At 48.1% G+C, this 16,976-nt stretch overlaps 1 protein-coding gene and 1 long non-coding RNA gene across 3 annotated transcripts, besides 2 other annotated features; one reads left to right on the top strand and one right to left on the bottom strand.

The window, feature by feature from the left end:
• Positions 1–246: 246 nt before the first annotated feature.
• LOC107986669 (uncharacterized) lies at positions 247–10,245 on the bottom strand. 2 transcript variants are annotated; one of them, XR_001744464.2, is made up of 3 exons: positions 10,070–10,245; positions 7,976–8,071; positions 247–2,904 (listed from the first exon to the last, which is right to left on the bottom strand). It is a non-coding gene; the product is annotated as an uncharacterized LOC107986669 (long non-coding RNA). The 2 variants fall into 2 exon arrangements; XR_007059864.1 differs by lacking the exon at positions 10,070–10,245 and having other exon boundaries at positions 7,976–8,296.
• Positions 8,969–9,248: an enhancer, noted in NCBI's record as "active region_25430". NCBI's record gives its function as "activates an Ori minimal core promoter by ATAC-STARR-seq in GM12878 lymphoblastoid cells {active_cell/tissue: GM12878}" and the evidence as "EXISTENCE:reporter gene assay evidence [ECO:0000049][PMID:35858748]".
• Positions 9,319–9,918: a silencer, noted in NCBI's record as "silent region_17774". NCBI's record gives its function as "represses an Ori minimal core promoter by ATAC-STARR-seq in GM12878 lymphoblastoid cells {active_cell/tissue: GM12878}" and the evidence as "EXISTENCE:reporter gene assay evidence [ECO:0000049][PMID:35858748]".
• On the top strand, positions 9,401–12,493 carry PRR18 (proline rich 18). The gene has a single exon (NM_175922.4). The coding sequence runs from the start codon at positions 9,651–9,653 to the stop codon at positions 10,536–10,538; it is 888 nt and encodes a 295-aa protein (NP_787118.2). The 5' UTR covers positions 9,401–9,650; the 3' UTR covers positions 10,539–12,493.
• The last annotated feature ends 4,483 nt before the right edge of the window (positions 12,494–16,976 follow it).

The raw sequence follows: 16,976 nt of genomic DNA, 5'->3' as shown, positions 1-16,976 counted from the left end.
AGCTCTCAGGCGTCCTGGATGGATAGGATGGATGCCCTCGGTCCCAGCCCAGATACCGGCAGCAGGGCAGGCATACCTTGGGTTCCAGAAGGCCTGGGTCAGTGCTGGAAACGACTAGAATTGGTGAGCACAGGCTCTGTGTTGGGGTGATCAGACCCAACACCAGGTCGTGGGGGTGACAAAGTCCGGTGGAGTAAAAGGATTGAGAAAAAGACAGTTTGAGAGAGAAAGGTGGGACACCAGGGGGCCATCGTGGAGGCTGTGAAGGCCCCGAGCTCTGGGAGCCCACAGTGTTTATTGGTAATCCAACAAAGAAACAGGTGGTGATAACGTGGAGGTCAAAAGGGCAGGCGCATGATCTACAACTGTGATGGTTTAGCATTTACATGGAACATGTTCTGCTACTTGAGATACTGGGAATAGGGACCTAGGAGCCTAGGAAGGCTAGAAGCAAGGAGCCAGCAAGTCTAGACACATTCCAGAGGACATTATGCAAGCCCTGCCTCGGTTTCCCCCCCAACACTCAGCTTTTTTCCCAACATGTCCCCTCTTTTTTATAAAAGAGAAGGTATCATTATTACTATCATTATTACTTAGCTATCATTAGCTAGGCGATTGCAGGCTGTGCAGCCCTTAATTGCCGGTAGGTGACCCAGCTTCTCTTTTCTTAGCCCTTATTCAAACTGGAGTCACTCTGGTTTGAATGCTTCCCACATATCTCCCCTTTCCCTTCTACAAGAGGACCCTTAATCCTAGGGGCTGCAGAAGGATGAAGGTCCATTTTCTGTAACTTCTTCATGCTGAATAGGGGCGATGATATTCCTGCCTAACTATTAGGGTCTCTCATATTCAGGGTAGAGAGGAGCTGAGTCAGAAAGCATTGGTCTGTTAGGCATCGTGACTCCGGTCGGTCCTCATTCCTTCTTCGCATTCAGATTCAACTGGCTCATGGCTCATACTGGGGGAACCCGGTCCAAGGTTGGGATCCATGGGTCCCTCCAGTCTCCCATTCCATGGTCGTGCACATCTTGAGGGCATCCACACGGTTCGTTCATCTCCTGCAAAAACACAAGCATACCCTCACCCCCATGTTAGTAAATCTACTGAAACAGAAGCAAAAACTTTTGTGGCTGTAGCCGGGCCACTGATAGTGAGAAACAGGCCTTTTCTGATTAACAGAAGGCATAGAGAAAGCAAATCGAGGCTTTTCAAACCTTCAATTCGCACTGTACTCTGCAGGTGGGTCCACTAGATGCCATGGCTCGTGATAGATCTTCAGATGGTTGGTGGGCACCCACACAGACACCTGATTGTCACCTGGGGAGACACAAGCAAATCCTCTTCCCCATAAAATTATCTTTAGGCAGGGATCGGAGGATGTAGATTCAGAGGTGAAGAGAATTTGGGGGGCCTAATGGCTTCCTGATGTTTGATAGGTGTTCCCTCGGAAGTTAGGAATTCCCTTTCTCCCCATATTGCTGCGTGGGCTTGGAGGACTAGGTAAGCATGCTTAGAGTCTGTATATTTAACCTTTTTCCTTCTAATTCTAGTGTATAATGGCCCCTGCTTTTGCTAGGATGTCTCTCCCTAACAAAGGAGTGGGGCTTTTGGGCATAATTAGAAAGGCATGTGAAAAGCGTAAAGTTCCCCAGTCACAACTTAGTGGCTGGGAGAAGTATCAAGTGACTGCCTGTCCTAGGACCCCTCGGATAGCGACAGATCTGGAGGACAGTTGTCTGGGACAGGAGAGTAAGACAGAAGGCCGCACGAGTGTCCAGGAAACAGTTAACCTCCTGGCCCTCAATGGTCAAGCATACCCGGGGCTCTGTGAGGGTAATGGCATGGGCTGGTGCTTGCCCCAGTACCCTCAGTCCTGCTGCTGGATCATCTGGTGAATGGCTTCTGACTCAGAGGACCTTCGTCCCCCAGGGCAGTGGGCCTTCCAGTGATTCCCTTGACATAAGGGGCATGGATGAGGGGGCGGCTTGTTTCTATTGGGACAATCTTTTTTAACGTGTCCTTGTAGACCGCACCGGAAGAAAGCCCTATTAGGCATTCGATTTGTTCAGGTTTTCCTTTTCCAGAGCCTCCAAAGTCCGCTTGCCTGAGGGCCATGACTGAAACGGTGGCCTTTTTTTTTTTTAATCTCGTTTGTCCCATTCCGACTGCTCCTCCTGATCTCTATTATAAAAAACCGAGGTTGCCAAGTTCAATAGGGTGTCTTAAGTTTTGCTCCAGGCCTAAGGTGGACTTTTGAAGTTTGTTTTCTAATGTCTGCAGCTGACCGAGTGATAAACTTAATCTTTAAGATTAGTTGGCCTTCAATAGAGTCAGGTGACAGGGAGGTATGCTTCCTCAGTGCCTCCCTTAGTCTCTCCAGAAAGGCAGTAGGATTTTCTTCCTTTCCCTGTGTTACAGTGGACATCACTGAAAAATTCACAGGCTTCTTCCTGGTTTTCCTTAGTCCTTCCAGCACGCAAGTTAGTAAATGTCTGCAGCACCAATCTCCATGTTCTGATTCTGTGTCTCAATGAGGGTCTGCACTGGGAACTGCCTGCTGGCCTGTAGGGAATCGTTCTCTTTCCTCTGTTGTCATCCTATCATTGACCTGACTGAGATACCAGAGATCGCCAAGCTCTCGGGCTGCAGTTATGGTGGCACTTCTCTCATTTGGGGTTAGTGTCTGATTTAGCAGTAACATTGCATCTCTCCATGTCAGATCAAAGGATTGTCCTAATTCTTGTAAAACATCAATATAGTCATCAGGGTTATCTGAGAATGTACCTAGGTCTATTTTAATTTGTTTCAAGTCTGAGAGGGAAAAAGGTACATACACTCTGACTGGGCTGAATTCTCCAGAATACATCTTGGGGACATTTTTGCCTTGAGGGGAATGTTTCTCATCTGAAAAAAAAAAAAAAAAAATATATATATATATATATGGATGCCAGCACCCCTAGTCATTTTCCGATGAGCATTAGTCCTAGAGTGTCCGCTGTGGTCTTAATGCTTATTCCTTTCCAGGGTGCGTAACCACTCATGGACCTCTGCTTATCGGATTAGTTATGCTTACTGATGTAGCAGTCTTGCACCCCTTTTCCCACCTTTCTTGACCACCAAGAAAGCAGTCCGGGCTGCTGGATTCTAGTGGTCCTTTACCAGCATGCCCAACGTCGCTTTTGCGCTCAGGGGTGAGTCCCAGAGTTGGGCTGGGTTCCTGAGTATTTCATGACAACCCAGCTGCCCCATCAAGATGCAGTCCCATAAACAACAGTTCTTGCACAAATTCGTTTCAGAGAGGGTGTAGGTAACCTTTTGAGTCAGGATTGAGATAGAGTTTTTTGATTCTGTGAGTACTTTAAGGCTTGACTGAGTGCAAACAGCTCGCACGTTTGAGCAGACCAATTGTTAGGCAATTTTCCTAACTCTGCTTCTACAAGAGTTTCCCTATCAATTACTGAATACCAATTGTGGGCTTTTTTTTTCTCCCCTCAATCACCGGGGAGGAACCATCTATGGTCCTGTCCTGAAGGGATTTCCTCCTGGGTCTGGTTAGACCTTTGTATGGTAATTAAGATTTAAATTCCTCATTAGGAAACCTTCTGGGTTAAGGGAATTTTTAGTGGTTAACGTTAAATCACCTTTGTCTAACAGAATAGCCCTATACTTTTAGATTTTTGAGTTAGTAAGCTACCTTTTTTTTTTTTCTTTTACTTAGGATAGCTCTGAACTGGTGAGGTGTGCTCACAATGAGGTTTCCTCTAAAGGTTATTTTTCTACTTTCTTCTGCTAGCAAAGCTGCTGCTGCTACCGATGGAATGCATTTGGGCCATCCGCGGGTTACTGGGTTAAGGATTTTTGATAGAAAGGCTACTGGTTGTCAGCGGTCTCAATGCAGCACTTCTCACAACGTGTTCCCAGGACGCCTGGGGTCTCGGAGGCCTGTTAGGGTCTGTTTTCATAGTGATACTGAGCCAGCATCACTCTTTTCCTCTCTCCTGCGATCCCCAGCACACAGTGGCGTTACTGTGGTCCCGTGGTGCGTGATGGCACAGGACAGAACACAGTGCATGCGAGATCCTATGGCTTCTACTGAGCCCACCACTCATCTCTCATTTGTTTATTTTAGAAAATAGTTTTTAAAAATATATTAAAAATATGTTAACATAATGGGTTTATTGCTAACATGTAATGTATTTAAAGCTATTTAAATTTCTAATAAGGTTAACATAATAGGTAAAATCCACAAAACAGAAGCTCTTTGGGGTTCTCAGCCATCTGGTCTTGAGACCAAAGAAATTGGGACCCCCCCCCCCCGGCATGGAGGGAAGCGTGTGCTCTGGCGCCCCCTGCCTAGACAGGCTGCCCCTGGCCGCGTGCTAGTTGTGTGACTGCTTGGGTAAGCCTTGGTTTGTCATCTGTAAAATGCAAGTATTGCTAGTACTGCTCTCACAGGGCTTTCATGAGCTTTCAACGATGTAACTAATCCAGATAAAGTGGATTATTTAGTGCAGAATAGACATTGCCTGTTATCATCTTAATAATGGGGAAAAAGAAGTACTTTAAAATTGTTAGCATCCAACACATTTCCTAAGTGTTTTTTTAATTCCCAAAGCCTTTCACAGTAACAGACCAGCGTTAGAAGAAATGTAGACATTTTTAAGTTATTGGCAAGTTTTCCAAGTAATAAAATTGGTTTTAAACTGGAATAAGCTTCTGTGTTAAAATTCAGGTTTGGTTTTAGTTCTAGATGTTTGATTGCTTACTGTTACATCATGTAAAATGATTTGAATGAAAGTATAGAAAGAAGTAGACCATAGGGGATAATGAGAAACAATGTATTGAAATAGTTCCCATTTTGAAGTTTTTCTGAATGTACATTTAAATATTATATAACTTAGTAAAAAAGAAGAAATTAAGTTAATGAGAAAAATGAAATGTTTTTCAAATAATGGCTAATTTCCTGGTGTTGTGATGTGATTACTGGCTCTAATTTTATTCACTGGTTACGAGGCAGGAGTGAGCAGTTGAGCAGCCAGCGCGCATCGTGTGGGAGCCCGGAATCCTTGGGATCATTTCTGTAGGGTCTGGGCAGTTGGGATGATCAGATCTGAGGCCCTTTACACAGCAGGGTCACCGAGCTGCAGCCTTGATAATTCTTCAGTCCACACAGTTCAAATCGGTGGAACAGCTGCCCTCTGTAATTGTAGTTGGGCCTGAATGTAAACTTCCTGGTGTTTTATTTTAGTGATTGAAATATTCTCTGTGCACATATTATTCACTGGAAATGTCTTAAAGGGTTGTTGTAATGGAAATTCTTTACTCTGATACACACTTTACTCTGACAGAATAGTGGGGCGGGTGGATAATCACCATTCCCACATGTGGACAATATTGTGTTATTGTTATATTTGAAATCTGAAAATCAAATTTAATTTAAAACATAAATGACGTAAAACATAAGTCAAAAATATGGACAGTTCCAAATACATAGGACCCCTAAGCAATGTGGGGGTTAGGGGTACCAGCCTCCCATAGGGTCAGAAATCCTTGTGTAACTTTTGACTCTGCAAAACATAACTACTAATAGCCTACTGTTGACCAGAAGTCTTATCGATAACTTAGTTGATTAACATATTTTGTATGTTAGCCGGGCGCAGTGGCTCACGCCTGCAATCCCAGCACTTTGGGAGGCTGAGGTGGGTGGATCACAAGGTCAGGAAATCGAGACCATCCTGGCTAACACGGTGAAACCCCGTCTCTACTAAAAGTACAAAAAATTAGCTGGGCGTGGTGGTGGGCGCCTATAGTCCCAGCTACTCAGGAGGCTGAGGCAGGAGAATGGTGTGAACCCGGGAGGCGGAGCTTGCAGTGAGCCGAGATCGCACCACTGCCCTCCAGCCTGGGCAACAGAGACCCTGTCTCAAAAAACAAAAACAAAAGCAAAAAAAAAAACACCATATTTTTTATGTTATATGTATTATATATATTATACAGTATTCTTAAAGTGAGCTGAAGAAAATGTTAAGACAATCATGAAGAAGAGAAAATACATTTACTATTCTTAAGTATTGAAGTGGATCATCATGAAGGTCTTCATCCTCATCACCATTACCTTGAGTAGGCTGAGGAGGAAGCGGAGGGGTTGGTCTTGCTGTCTCAGGAGTGGCAGAGGCAGAGGAAAATCCTCCTGTAAGTGGACCCTCGCAGTTCAAACCCATGGTGTTCAAGGGTAAACTGTATTTGGTTTTGGTTAGTTGACCTTTTAAATCAACTTATTTGAGACAGTAAATTTAGATAAGATGTAATCATGCAAGATAAGATGTAATCATGCATTTTAGAGATCAGCTCTTGTTCAGGTGAACCCCAAAATCTAGTTCTGAGACAGATTAGCTGATCTCAGTATTCTAGTACCCAAGCTTTACTATTTAATATTACATATGAATAGTTATAATTATTGTGTTCTGGGCAAGCTATGAGAAATCCCTTGTAAATTATAAGCTAAATTTTACATTATTTTTATTTATTTATTTTTTTGAGATGGAGTATTTCTCTGTCGCCAAGGCTGGAGTACAATGGCACGATCTCAGCTTACTGTAACCTCCACCTCCCGGATTCAAGTGATTCTCCTGCCTCAGCCTCCTGAGTAACTGAGATTACAAGCGCGTGCCACCACTCCCAGCTAATTTTTGTGTCTTTAGTAGAGACAGGGTTTCACCATGTTGGTCAGGCTTGTTCTCGAACTCATGACCTCAGGTGATCCACCCGCCTTGGCCTCCCAAAGTGCTGGGATTACAGGCGTGAACTACTGTACCCAGCTACTATATTTCTTTAACCGCTTTTCAGTTACACCTGCTGTCCTGAAGTTAAACGCAGCCATCTCTCTGGCGTGGCTTTCCTTGCTGGGAACTGCTGCTGGCTGCTTGCATCAGCCGAAGGGTATTTGTAACGGATTCTTTAACAGCCACAGCACCAGTGAGGGCCAGCGACAGAGGCTGCTTTCACGCATTCTGTTTCAGGCCCAAGCCAATCTTTCTAACTTCTAATTTACAAGGAGCTGAAGGTTTCAAGTAGCAGAAGTAGCTGGGCAGGGGACAAGCGATGCTGTCATTTGGGTGCTTTTATCAGAGTCTGAAGAGGGGATAGTCCGTCGGCAATGCTAACTCCTCCGTACTCCTGGGGCAGCAACCCGCCATGAGAACCCAGAGCTCAGAACCCCTCGTAGGAGCATGCTTTGCTCTGAGGGTTCTGGGGAGACAGGGAAGAGGCACTGCCCCTCCTACCTGGCCTGGTGATGAGGTGGCGGACACTCAGAATGTACTTTTCTGCCTCTCAAGGGTCACACAAACTTACAGCTTTCCATGTCTCCAAGCTTCTGGGCTGGTATGAGACGTCTGGGAGGGCTTGGAGAATCCCAGTTCTTGTCTGGTCAGACACGTGCATTAATCTGATAAACTATCACTTTTCTTGGCTTAAAAAGGCCCAAATCGCTACTAGTTTGTGGGTGAGAGGTCACTTAATCCAATCACCCTGATCTACCAAGACTTTTTCCCTCTCAGCTTTAGTGTAAAAGTTGCAATCTGGCCTTGGACTCGCACTCCTGGGGTGGAGTCTTATCTCCTCCGTCCCGTTAGAGCTGTGTGATGGCAGTTGCGTAGCTACCTCGCCTCTGTACGACCAGTGTCCCAGCAGAATGGAGACAGCAGTGGAAGTCGGGAGCATTACTATGAGGCCACCAACCCATTCTCACCCCAAAACTGTCATTCCTTCTGAAGCATCCTAAGAGTAAGGAGACAGGAAGGAGAGAAGACCCCACCAGCACCGTCACAGCTTTTGAACTGCGGGGCTCCAAACTCAGATGTCTGAGTGTCCAAGTGTTTGCTGATTTTTCTCCATAGCCTGCCTCTCCAGCTGTGCCCCCATAAATGATATTTGATACCGCCCCCCGCCCCACCCCCATCCTCTCCTGCCTCACCTTCTCTTCCAGTTCTCCACTTTCCAGGCACAGAACTGTGGGCCTCCTGCCGCCACTGACGTGCCTCTTCCCACACCCATCCAGAGATTCTAAAACCTGGAATAAAACATATTGAGGAGGAGGTTTCAGTATCTTAGGACCTCACCTGTCAAGCCGATTAACAGCCTGAGCCCACCGGCAGAGACAGGCTGGCAGGGATGGAGGGAAAGTGCCTGTGAGCTGGGAGGCTTGTTTCAGAGCTGTATTGGGGTGGCTTGGGAGGTGCTGGTAGAGATGACAGGGCCCAAACCTGTCACCCCAACCCAAGCTCTGGTGAGAAGTGTTTCCCACCACCTGCCAGGTTTCCTTGACGCTCCCATGTATCCACAGCGCAGTTCTCTGAGGCCACCAACAGTCAACAAGGGGAGGCGTTGCTGCTGCCTCGGAGACTGAGGCGGCTGGGGGAGGGCCATGCTGTCCTGCTGTGACTGTTGGCACAGGGCACATTTGTGTTTACCCACAGTTGAATGTGCTCTGGAGCTAACCTGGGGCCGTAACCATCACACACCTGGTTTCCATCAGAAAAGTGTATCTGATGGAAAGTACTTTGTGGAGATCTAAGCAGCTGATGATTATCCTTAAGTAATGCAGGGACTGCACACATGAAATGTTGACTTTTTGATCCGTCACTTTGCAATTGTTCAATTATTTATTAAACAAACATTTGAATATTGTAGGATGTCTTCATGTGTCTACGACTAGAATGTAAATTGACAGTGAAGATTTATCTCATTAATTCTGAATCTCTGCTACAGTGATAAATATATTGCTTTGCTCATAAGAATTATTAAAGGGACTTGATGTCTAATATTTGCCATGTAATCAGCATTATATAGCTGAAACTGAACTATTTTGCCTGTTCATAGATACTTAGGTTTTGAATTTGAAAGTGACTCCTCAAGGGGTGGCATGAACACTATGTAAGATTCACTGAGGGTCATTTCTCCCCTCTCAGCTCCAGCCCGCTTTTCTCTGTGAAGCAGGATGTGTCCGGGGCCGCAGAGCTGCATCTACTGGCGGTGCCTTTCCCGCCGTCTCGAAGGCACGGAGAGGCTACAGGGGATTTTCTCTGAAACGTGCAGGGCCTCCACCTGTGACTCCGGAAGGCTGCCGGCTCCCCCAGGGGAATGCTCCTGGCTTTCGACGGACTACATTAACCTCGGACCACCGGAGCGCCAGCTGGGGGAGCCCCGGGATGCCTGGCGCGCGCTCCGCCCTCCGCTGTCCTGGCACTTTGCTCCCATTCAACAGTCGGTCGTGACACCAGCCGGGCACAGCCCGGGGCCTGGCAGGGCCGCGTCCTTAGCGAGCGCGCTGGGCTCCTCCTCCTGCCGGCCCGGCCCGCGTCTCAGCTGTGGGGACCCGGGGGCGCCGCGACTCGCCCACAGTCGGACGGCGGGAGGCGGTTCCTGCAGGGTCCAGTCCCGGGAGCACCCCCAGGAGGAGGGGAGGGTGGGAGCGCCTCTCTTTGAGTCCCCGGGTTTGGTCGCTGGGATGTGAGGAAGCCGGAGAGGCCGCGGCTGGACGCAGGTGGGTGTGGAGGGGCCGCCCGGACTGCGGGGACCCGCTCCGCGCACAGTGGCTGAGCGCCCGCCTCTCTTTCCAGGGGCTGAGGATCCGGCGGCTCGGCTGCACTATGCCCTTCCCGCCCATGCCGCCGCCGCCCGCCCCCGCCCCGGGGGCCCAAGCCGCGCGCCAGTTACCCCGGAGGCCCTGCGCCGCGGGGGACAAGAAGAAGAGGCCCCCACAGCGGCCCGAGGGGCTCCTCTCCAGCTCCTGGCCCTCCGCCACGCTCAAGAGGCCGCCGGCCCGGCGCGGCCCCGGCCTGGACAGGACGCAGCCGCCGGCCCCTCCGGGCGTCTCCCCCCAGGCCTTGCCCAGCCGCGCGCGGGCCCCAGCCACGTGCGCCCCGCCCCGGCCGGCAGGCTCCGGCCACAGCCCAGCGAGGACCACCTATGCGGCGACCTCGGCGGGGACGGGGACCACCGCCGCGGGCACCTCCTCGGGGGCGGGGCCTTGTCCAGACTCCGCTGCGCGCTTCTGCCTGAATCTCACCCCCGAGGCCGTCCTGGTCATCCAGAAGCGTCATCTGGAGAAGCAGCTGCTGGCGCGGCCCCGCAGGCCCTTCCCCTCACCCTCGGCCGAACCCAGGCGCCTACTCGCCCCGTGTCTCCCGGCTAGGGCCGCGGGCCCGCGGAGGGGCGGCCCCGCCAGCGACCCCGACGCACCCCCCACCGCCGGCCAGGGCCGCCGCGCGCCTCCGCCCGGCGCCCAGCTGCTGCACGGCGGCCTGCAGGTTCCCCAGCTCAGCCCGCGGCCCGGGGCCCTGCGGCCGATGCTCAAGGTGTCGCTGCTCAACGAGCGGCACAGGTACGACGACGTGGAGTACGAGGAGGAGCCAGAGGCGGTGGACGAGGGCCTGGTACGCAAGTGCACGGAGTGGCTGCGCGGCGTGGAGTCCGCGGCTGCCGCGCGGGGCCGGGCGGGGGCCCTGGACTCACGGCGGCACCTGAGCACGCTGTGAGCCCAGCGGGCCTGCGGGGACAGGCCAGGCCTGATCCCACCTCACTTCCTGCACGCGCCACTCCGCCTAGGGGCCCTCGGGGGAGACCGCAGGCTCCTCTGGCCGCCAGCGCCCACTTTCGGGACACCAGTGCGCAAGCTGGCCCACGTGGGGCGCAGCCAGACTCGCCCGACGGCCACGGCCCCCCTCCTGCCCTCGCCAGCCGGCAGCCCGGGCCTTTCTCGTTCACACCGGTGGTATCTACCCCAGATGCCTGCCTCTGCCCCCACTCTGGCCTCCTCTTGGCATCGCCGAGCATCCATGCAGTTCGTGGGGAATTAAGCAACTGAGAAAATGCCTCTTGGTGCCCCGACCCCCAGGGTTCGTCTAGGTCCCAGAGACCCTCTGCCTGGAGGCGGGCCTTCCCCAGGGCTACATCTGCACGCCCCGTGGTGTCACCCTCAGCCGGCGCCGGGCACCCTGGACAGTGCGGTGGGCGATGGCCCAGGTGGGTGGCCGCGACGGTGGCCTCCTGCAGAGCTGGGACCCGGTCCTACATTCGTGATTTTGTTTTCTCCCAAGTCAGAAAAATGTTGAGGGTATTAGACATCCCTGAAACTCAGTTAACCGAATTTCCAGTCTCCAAAGCGGAAGGGTAGGCATCGCCAGGCGCTGGTGAGCCCTGGTCAATGAGCGCTTCCATGGAAACCGCTCGGCTGATTACATTTTTTCTGTGTATTATTTGAATAGAGAGTAAAGCTCCTCCGCTGTTTCGTAACCATATCCTTTCCCCCGCTAACTGGAGGCTGATTTCTACATATTTCTTCCATGTATCTGAGAATATCTAACTAGAAGGATGAGAAGGAAATAAAATGTTATAATCAGATAAGGCTGGTTATAAAAGAGTAATGTATTACCTCAATTTTTGACTGACTTTGTAAAAGCCAATAACTGGTTTAATGTTTATCTTGATAGACTTTAAATGTATCAAGTCTTAATTGTATTTTAAATTGAAGCCTTACATTTTTAAAACAGATTTTGTATTTTTCTTGTGGAGGTCTTTGCTCTAATAACACACACACACTGTCTCTCTCTCTCTCTCTCTCTAATTCTAGGCACACATTTAGTTAGATGTGAAGCATTTAATTCATTGGGAGCTAGGTCAGCTGCCAGATGAGTTGCAAAAACAGAAAAAAACCTACCCATTGAATAACTTCTTTGAATTTGGAGATAAGTTTTCTTTTACTTAAAATGAATATATTAATTCTAGAGGGGCAAAACTAGCAATGCTTATGCAAGTGACGGTGCTGCTCTTGTTCCACCCCCACCCAGATGGTCTCTGAGTGCGCCGTCCTGGGCAGGGCACACGGTCTGGAGCTGAGAGGGTGGAGCAAGAGTGCACTGACTCCGAGCCGAGGGCAGGAGTGGCTCAACTTGGTCTCGTCTTGCACTTAGTGCAAATACCAATAATTAAGATGCCTAGACTTCTGCCCTTGGTCACAGTAACAACAACATTTTGAAGACTTTTCCCTGGTGGCATCCTAGAGGGACCGACTTTCTGCAGCCTCTGTCTTCCAAGCTGAGCTTCTGCTGCAGTGTGGCTGTCACTGCACCTGTGTGTCTCCCTGACGTCCCTGTCAGCTGCTTCATTTTGATTTCCTTTCTTCTCCCGCCCTTTCTGTAGGCTCTGTCCCAGCATCTCCTGTTCTTAACTGGCCACAATACAACACTAAGCGCATTTTTAGTAATTTGTATTTATTAAATAGAGTTTGTGGGCCTTGTTCTCTACTTTAAAAGCAGATGAGTGGAACATTTATGTTTCCCTGGTCAATGAGCTTCAATAAAAAACAAACAGAAAAAAGGTTTTACACGTGACACATGATATCTTTTCATTGCTGTTAAGGACATTTTGAGAAAGTTTTCTAAGTCGCTATGCTCCAATTTCTTAATGCTTAAATAAAAGAGAAATTCAGTGACTTGTGATTCTTTTTGAGGGGGACACTGAAAACTGGTCAGGAAGAGACTACTGAGGGATTTACAATTCACATGACATGATTTCTTCATAGTGGCACTCAACCTAAGGTTCTGGGATTTCCAGGAGTTGAAAAAGGTTTGCTGGTTTTAATCACTACTAGAATTTTTAAAAATCACTACCAGGATTTTTAAGATAGTCAAATACTGTAAGGTTATTTGGCAATGACATTTGACCTTTTATGGGGCCACAAATCCCCGTGAAAGCTATATTCCAAAAGGACTCCTAAAACCGTGTACCACATAGCAACAAAACATTGCATATAATTTGCATATATTTTAAGAAGCTCATGGGTCCCAGGTTAAGGACTCCTCCTATATACACTCACTAGAATATTTTTTTTATTTTGCCTAAAGTAATTTCATACTGGTAGGTCATACCAATCAGAAATTAAAGGGTCAATTTGAATAATTGCTAGACTATTAGATTACTATTATATTATTATCAAATTCTCCCATAACTGTAATATCTCATAGCAGGGACTGAGGAGGACTTCCATCCCAGGAGAGAAAATTGGGTGCCACTATGTAAGTAAAAGTGTTGCCAGTTCCAAAGATTGAGCATATATGTGACTTAATTCCCTCTATTTAGAGAATAGCTGGCACTTTAAGATAGGTTTTTATGTTGATCTGCCTTATTTCTAGAAAAGTGGATGCCAAGTTGTCAGAACCATTAGTTGTGGGGTTTCCCTGGAAATCACGCGGTTCAGTTTAGGGTGGGTGATCTGTGGGATCTCTGCTTTTCAGCCAACCGTGGTATATCATTCAAAGAAAGTCTGAAAATAACAGTCTCTCTAGTAAGCAAGGACACTTTTGCATCAACAGAAATGCACACACAGGCCTTTGTGACCTCTGGGAAACCTGGATTGATGTGGTTCCCCAGCATGGCCTCTGTCCAGATGCTGCCTGGGTAAGGGCACAGCTGCTCCCATGGCCTGTAGTGGAGGCCCCTTGGTCTGGCTTGGAGTCAGAGCGCCCCTCAGCATTGTGTGGGAGAAGGTACCGCACCATGGTTCAAGGTGGGTTTTGGTGCCCTAGAGGCTGGAGTTGCCACACTGATGCTGTCATTTATCCACATCTTTCATTAAACTTCCATGTCTGTTTCCTCTTCTGTCTGTGGGGATAGTTGAACATAGGTGACCCTGGTGAGGATTATGAGGCAATATGCGAAGCGTTCCCCCAGCTCAAAGTTAACTGTAATTTTTACTATTTCAAAAAAGTCTTTACTACTCAAAAAACTCTGGCACTCTTGTGCACATTCAAAACCTCCCTAGTTACAGCATTCTGAGATTTTTATCTTTAACCATTTAATGCACACCTACACTTTTATATTCCTGAGGAATTAAAAAATTAAAATGTCTATTGTGTTTTGCCTTCTTATCTCACACTTAATTATTATGTTATGAGCACAAAATTTAGCTCTGAGCTTCCTGGTAGCAGAGACAAAGTTTAAAGTAAGAGTCATATAATCTCAATATCTAATAACAAGAAACACTTCTTGGAGAAAATTGTTATGTGTGTATTTGGATTATATACAACACAATGGATAGTAGTATCCTTAAATGCAGCTTCTCGAAGATGCCTAAGTGTTCTTGTTGTTTTTTTATTTTTTGAAACGGAGTCTCACTCTGTCACCCAGGCTGGAGTGCAGTGGCGTGATCTCGGCTCACTGCAAGCTCTGCCTCCTGGGTTCACACCATTCTCCTGCTTCAGCCTCCCCAGTAGCTGGGACTACAGGTGTCAGCCACCATGCCCGGCTAATTTTTTTGTATTTTCAGTAGAGACAGAGTTTCACTGTGTTAGCCAGGATGGTCTCGATCTCCTGACCTCGTGATCCACCCTCCTCGGCCTCCCAAAGTGCTGGGATTACAGGCATGAGCCACTGCGCCCGGCCAAAGATGCCTAAATGTTCTTTACATTACTATTAGCTCTTGATGAAAGCCAGTGGGGTCATTATCAGCGACATCCTTGCTGGAACTGGACCATCCCACCTTATGGAGGTGGTGTGGATGGAAACCTACAAAATACAGTAGGGAATCTTCAGGAAGCAGTTTTAGATCTGCTCAAATATTTAGCAAGTACTGCCCTAGTACCTCAGACAATTCGACATCAGTCCTTAAATGTTTGGTCTCGTGACCTCTTTCTAGTCTCAAAAATTATTGAAGGGAAAAAAAGTATTGAGGGAAGCCAAAGAACCTTCTTCAGTGTAGGTTTATCTATCAGTACTTCCTGTATCAGAACTAAGAGACCCTAGAACAATCAAACTGCTGGTTTCATCCATACCATGTTGGCTCCTAGTGCCTGCTGTAAAGGCTGGGTTAGCTGCATCTGAAATGGATGGGAAGTGTTTTAAGAAACAGATATTCCAGACCTCAGACCTAGGGATACTAATTCAGTAGATCTGGGAAAGGGCTGATGTGCCACCAGGTTGGGAGCCATTGCTATATGGCAAGAAATACACGACCAGGCTCAGGAAATACTTCAGGCAGATTTTATTGAAGGTGGATTTAACCAACTGTGTCCTCTCACAAGAGACCCTGCAATGCGACTCTGTCAATATAGAGTCTCCTTTTCTAGGTAGTCATGTCTCCCTTCCTGGCCATGTGTTTTCACGGCAGGGAGGGTAGGATGCAATGACCAAAAATAACTAAAGTGACCCCATGTCATCAGCCTAGGCACCGTCCAGCTCATAGAATTGGGAGTGCTGGCCACTCCACTTCTGGGGGGCCTTGCCCCACATCTCATTCATCCGGAGTCCCCGCCCTTGATGACTGTGTCCTAGGTCTTCCCTCGTCTACCTCTGTCAGCATAATTATGAGAGCCTCCCAGATACAAGCTTCTACAACACAGCACATGCCACTCCCGATGCCACTCCTGATGCCACTCCTGATGCCATCCTGTCACCAGAGCGGGAGGCAGGCTCTGAGAACTGCAGATGCATGGGCGTGTCCTGAAAAGCCAACCCCAGACAGTGCATGGAGCTCAACACCTGATTTTACGAGGAAATTATAACAAGTATCTGTTGAGTATTTCACTTTGAGCAGGATAGTATGCCAGCAGGCCCAGAATTGTTCAGTTATTATTCATTCAAAAAATATTTACCCTGCCTCTACAGGATGAAGGGTATCTGAGACACAAAACTAACTGGAACTGTTCCTTACGTAATCTAATGGGTCAGCATGTCCAAAGGTGTATCCAGGTCTGCCGAGAGCAATGACTTTGGTTTGAGGACAGTCAATATTGAGCGGTTCTTTAGGACAGCCATTGATCTGTATTTGTTTACTTGGGCCAATTTAACAGAATACCACACACTGGGCGGCTTAAAAAACAGATACTTATTTTCTTATAGTTCTGGAGGCTGGATGTTCAGAATCAAGATGCCGGCAAGGCTAGTCCCTGGTGAGGCCTCTTTCCTAGCTTGCAGACGGCCGCCTCCCACACTGCGTCCTCATAGAGCCTTGGTATCTCTTCCTTCTCCTACAGGGATGCCAGTTCTGTTGGATCACAGCCCTCACGTATGTGCCCGTTTAACCTTAAAATTACCTCCTTAAAGGCACTCTCTGCAAATATAGTCACAGTGCATTTAGAGCTTTGATATATTAATATTAATTTGGGGGTGTTGGGGACAAGATCCAACCCAGAACGTGGTCTGTGGTTTCAGTTGCTTTTTAAGGCCACTTATGGAATATGATAGCAAGATAAGATCCTCAGCTTCTTCCCACCACTTAGGTGCACACACAGCACACATACACAAACACACACGTACACAAATGTACACATGCGCACAAACACACTCGTGCACACATACGCAAGCATGCACAGAAACACATAACTTTTGGAAGCATAAAAATAGAAGAGTTTTTATTGAAATTTGAAAAATTAATTAGTTCAACCTTTTTATTTCTACCTACAAGAATGTGGAGATGAAAGAATTTGCCGAACTAGTCAGAAATGTTCAAGCCAGGACTGAAGTCTGTAACCTAAGATTGCAAAGATTTTATTTGCTCCCCACAATCTCTTATTTTTGCCTTTGTATCTGCTCTGAAATTTTGTTTGTTTTTGTTTTTGAGACAGAGTCCCACTCTGTTACCCGGGCTGGGGTGCAATGGCGCGATCTTGGCTCACTGCAACCTCAGCCTCCTGAGTTCAAGTGATTCTCCTGCCTCAGCCCCCCAAGTAGCTGGGATTACAGGTGCCCACCATCATGTCTGGCTAATTTTTGTATTTTTAGTAGAAACAGGGTTTCGCCATGTTGGCCAGGCTGGTCTTGAACTCCTGACCTCAGGTGATCCACCCGCCTCAGCTACCTAAAGTGAGGGGATTATAGGCCTGAGCCACCTCGTCCAGCCTGCTCTGAAATTTTTGACAGAATCTGTGGGCCAGGCAGATAATCTAAGGCATAGTCCCTTAATGAACCTGTGCAGGGCG

Source organism: Homo sapiens, chromosome 6 (genome assembly GCF_000001405.40).
Source record: "Homo sapiens chromosome 6, GRCh38.p14 Primary Assembly".
In the NCBI taxonomy this organism is placed as follows: Eukaryota; Metazoa; Chordata; class Mammalia; order Primates; family Hominidae; genus Homo; species Homo sapiens.
This window is presented reverse-complemented; position numbering and strand designations above follow the sequence as displayed.

What these genes read in the sequence shown, in the direction of transcription:
- PRR18 (NM_175922.4), top strand. Translation starts at nt 9,651, where the DNA reads ATGCCCTTCCCGCCCATGCCGCCGCCGCCCGCCCCCGCCCCGGGGGCC.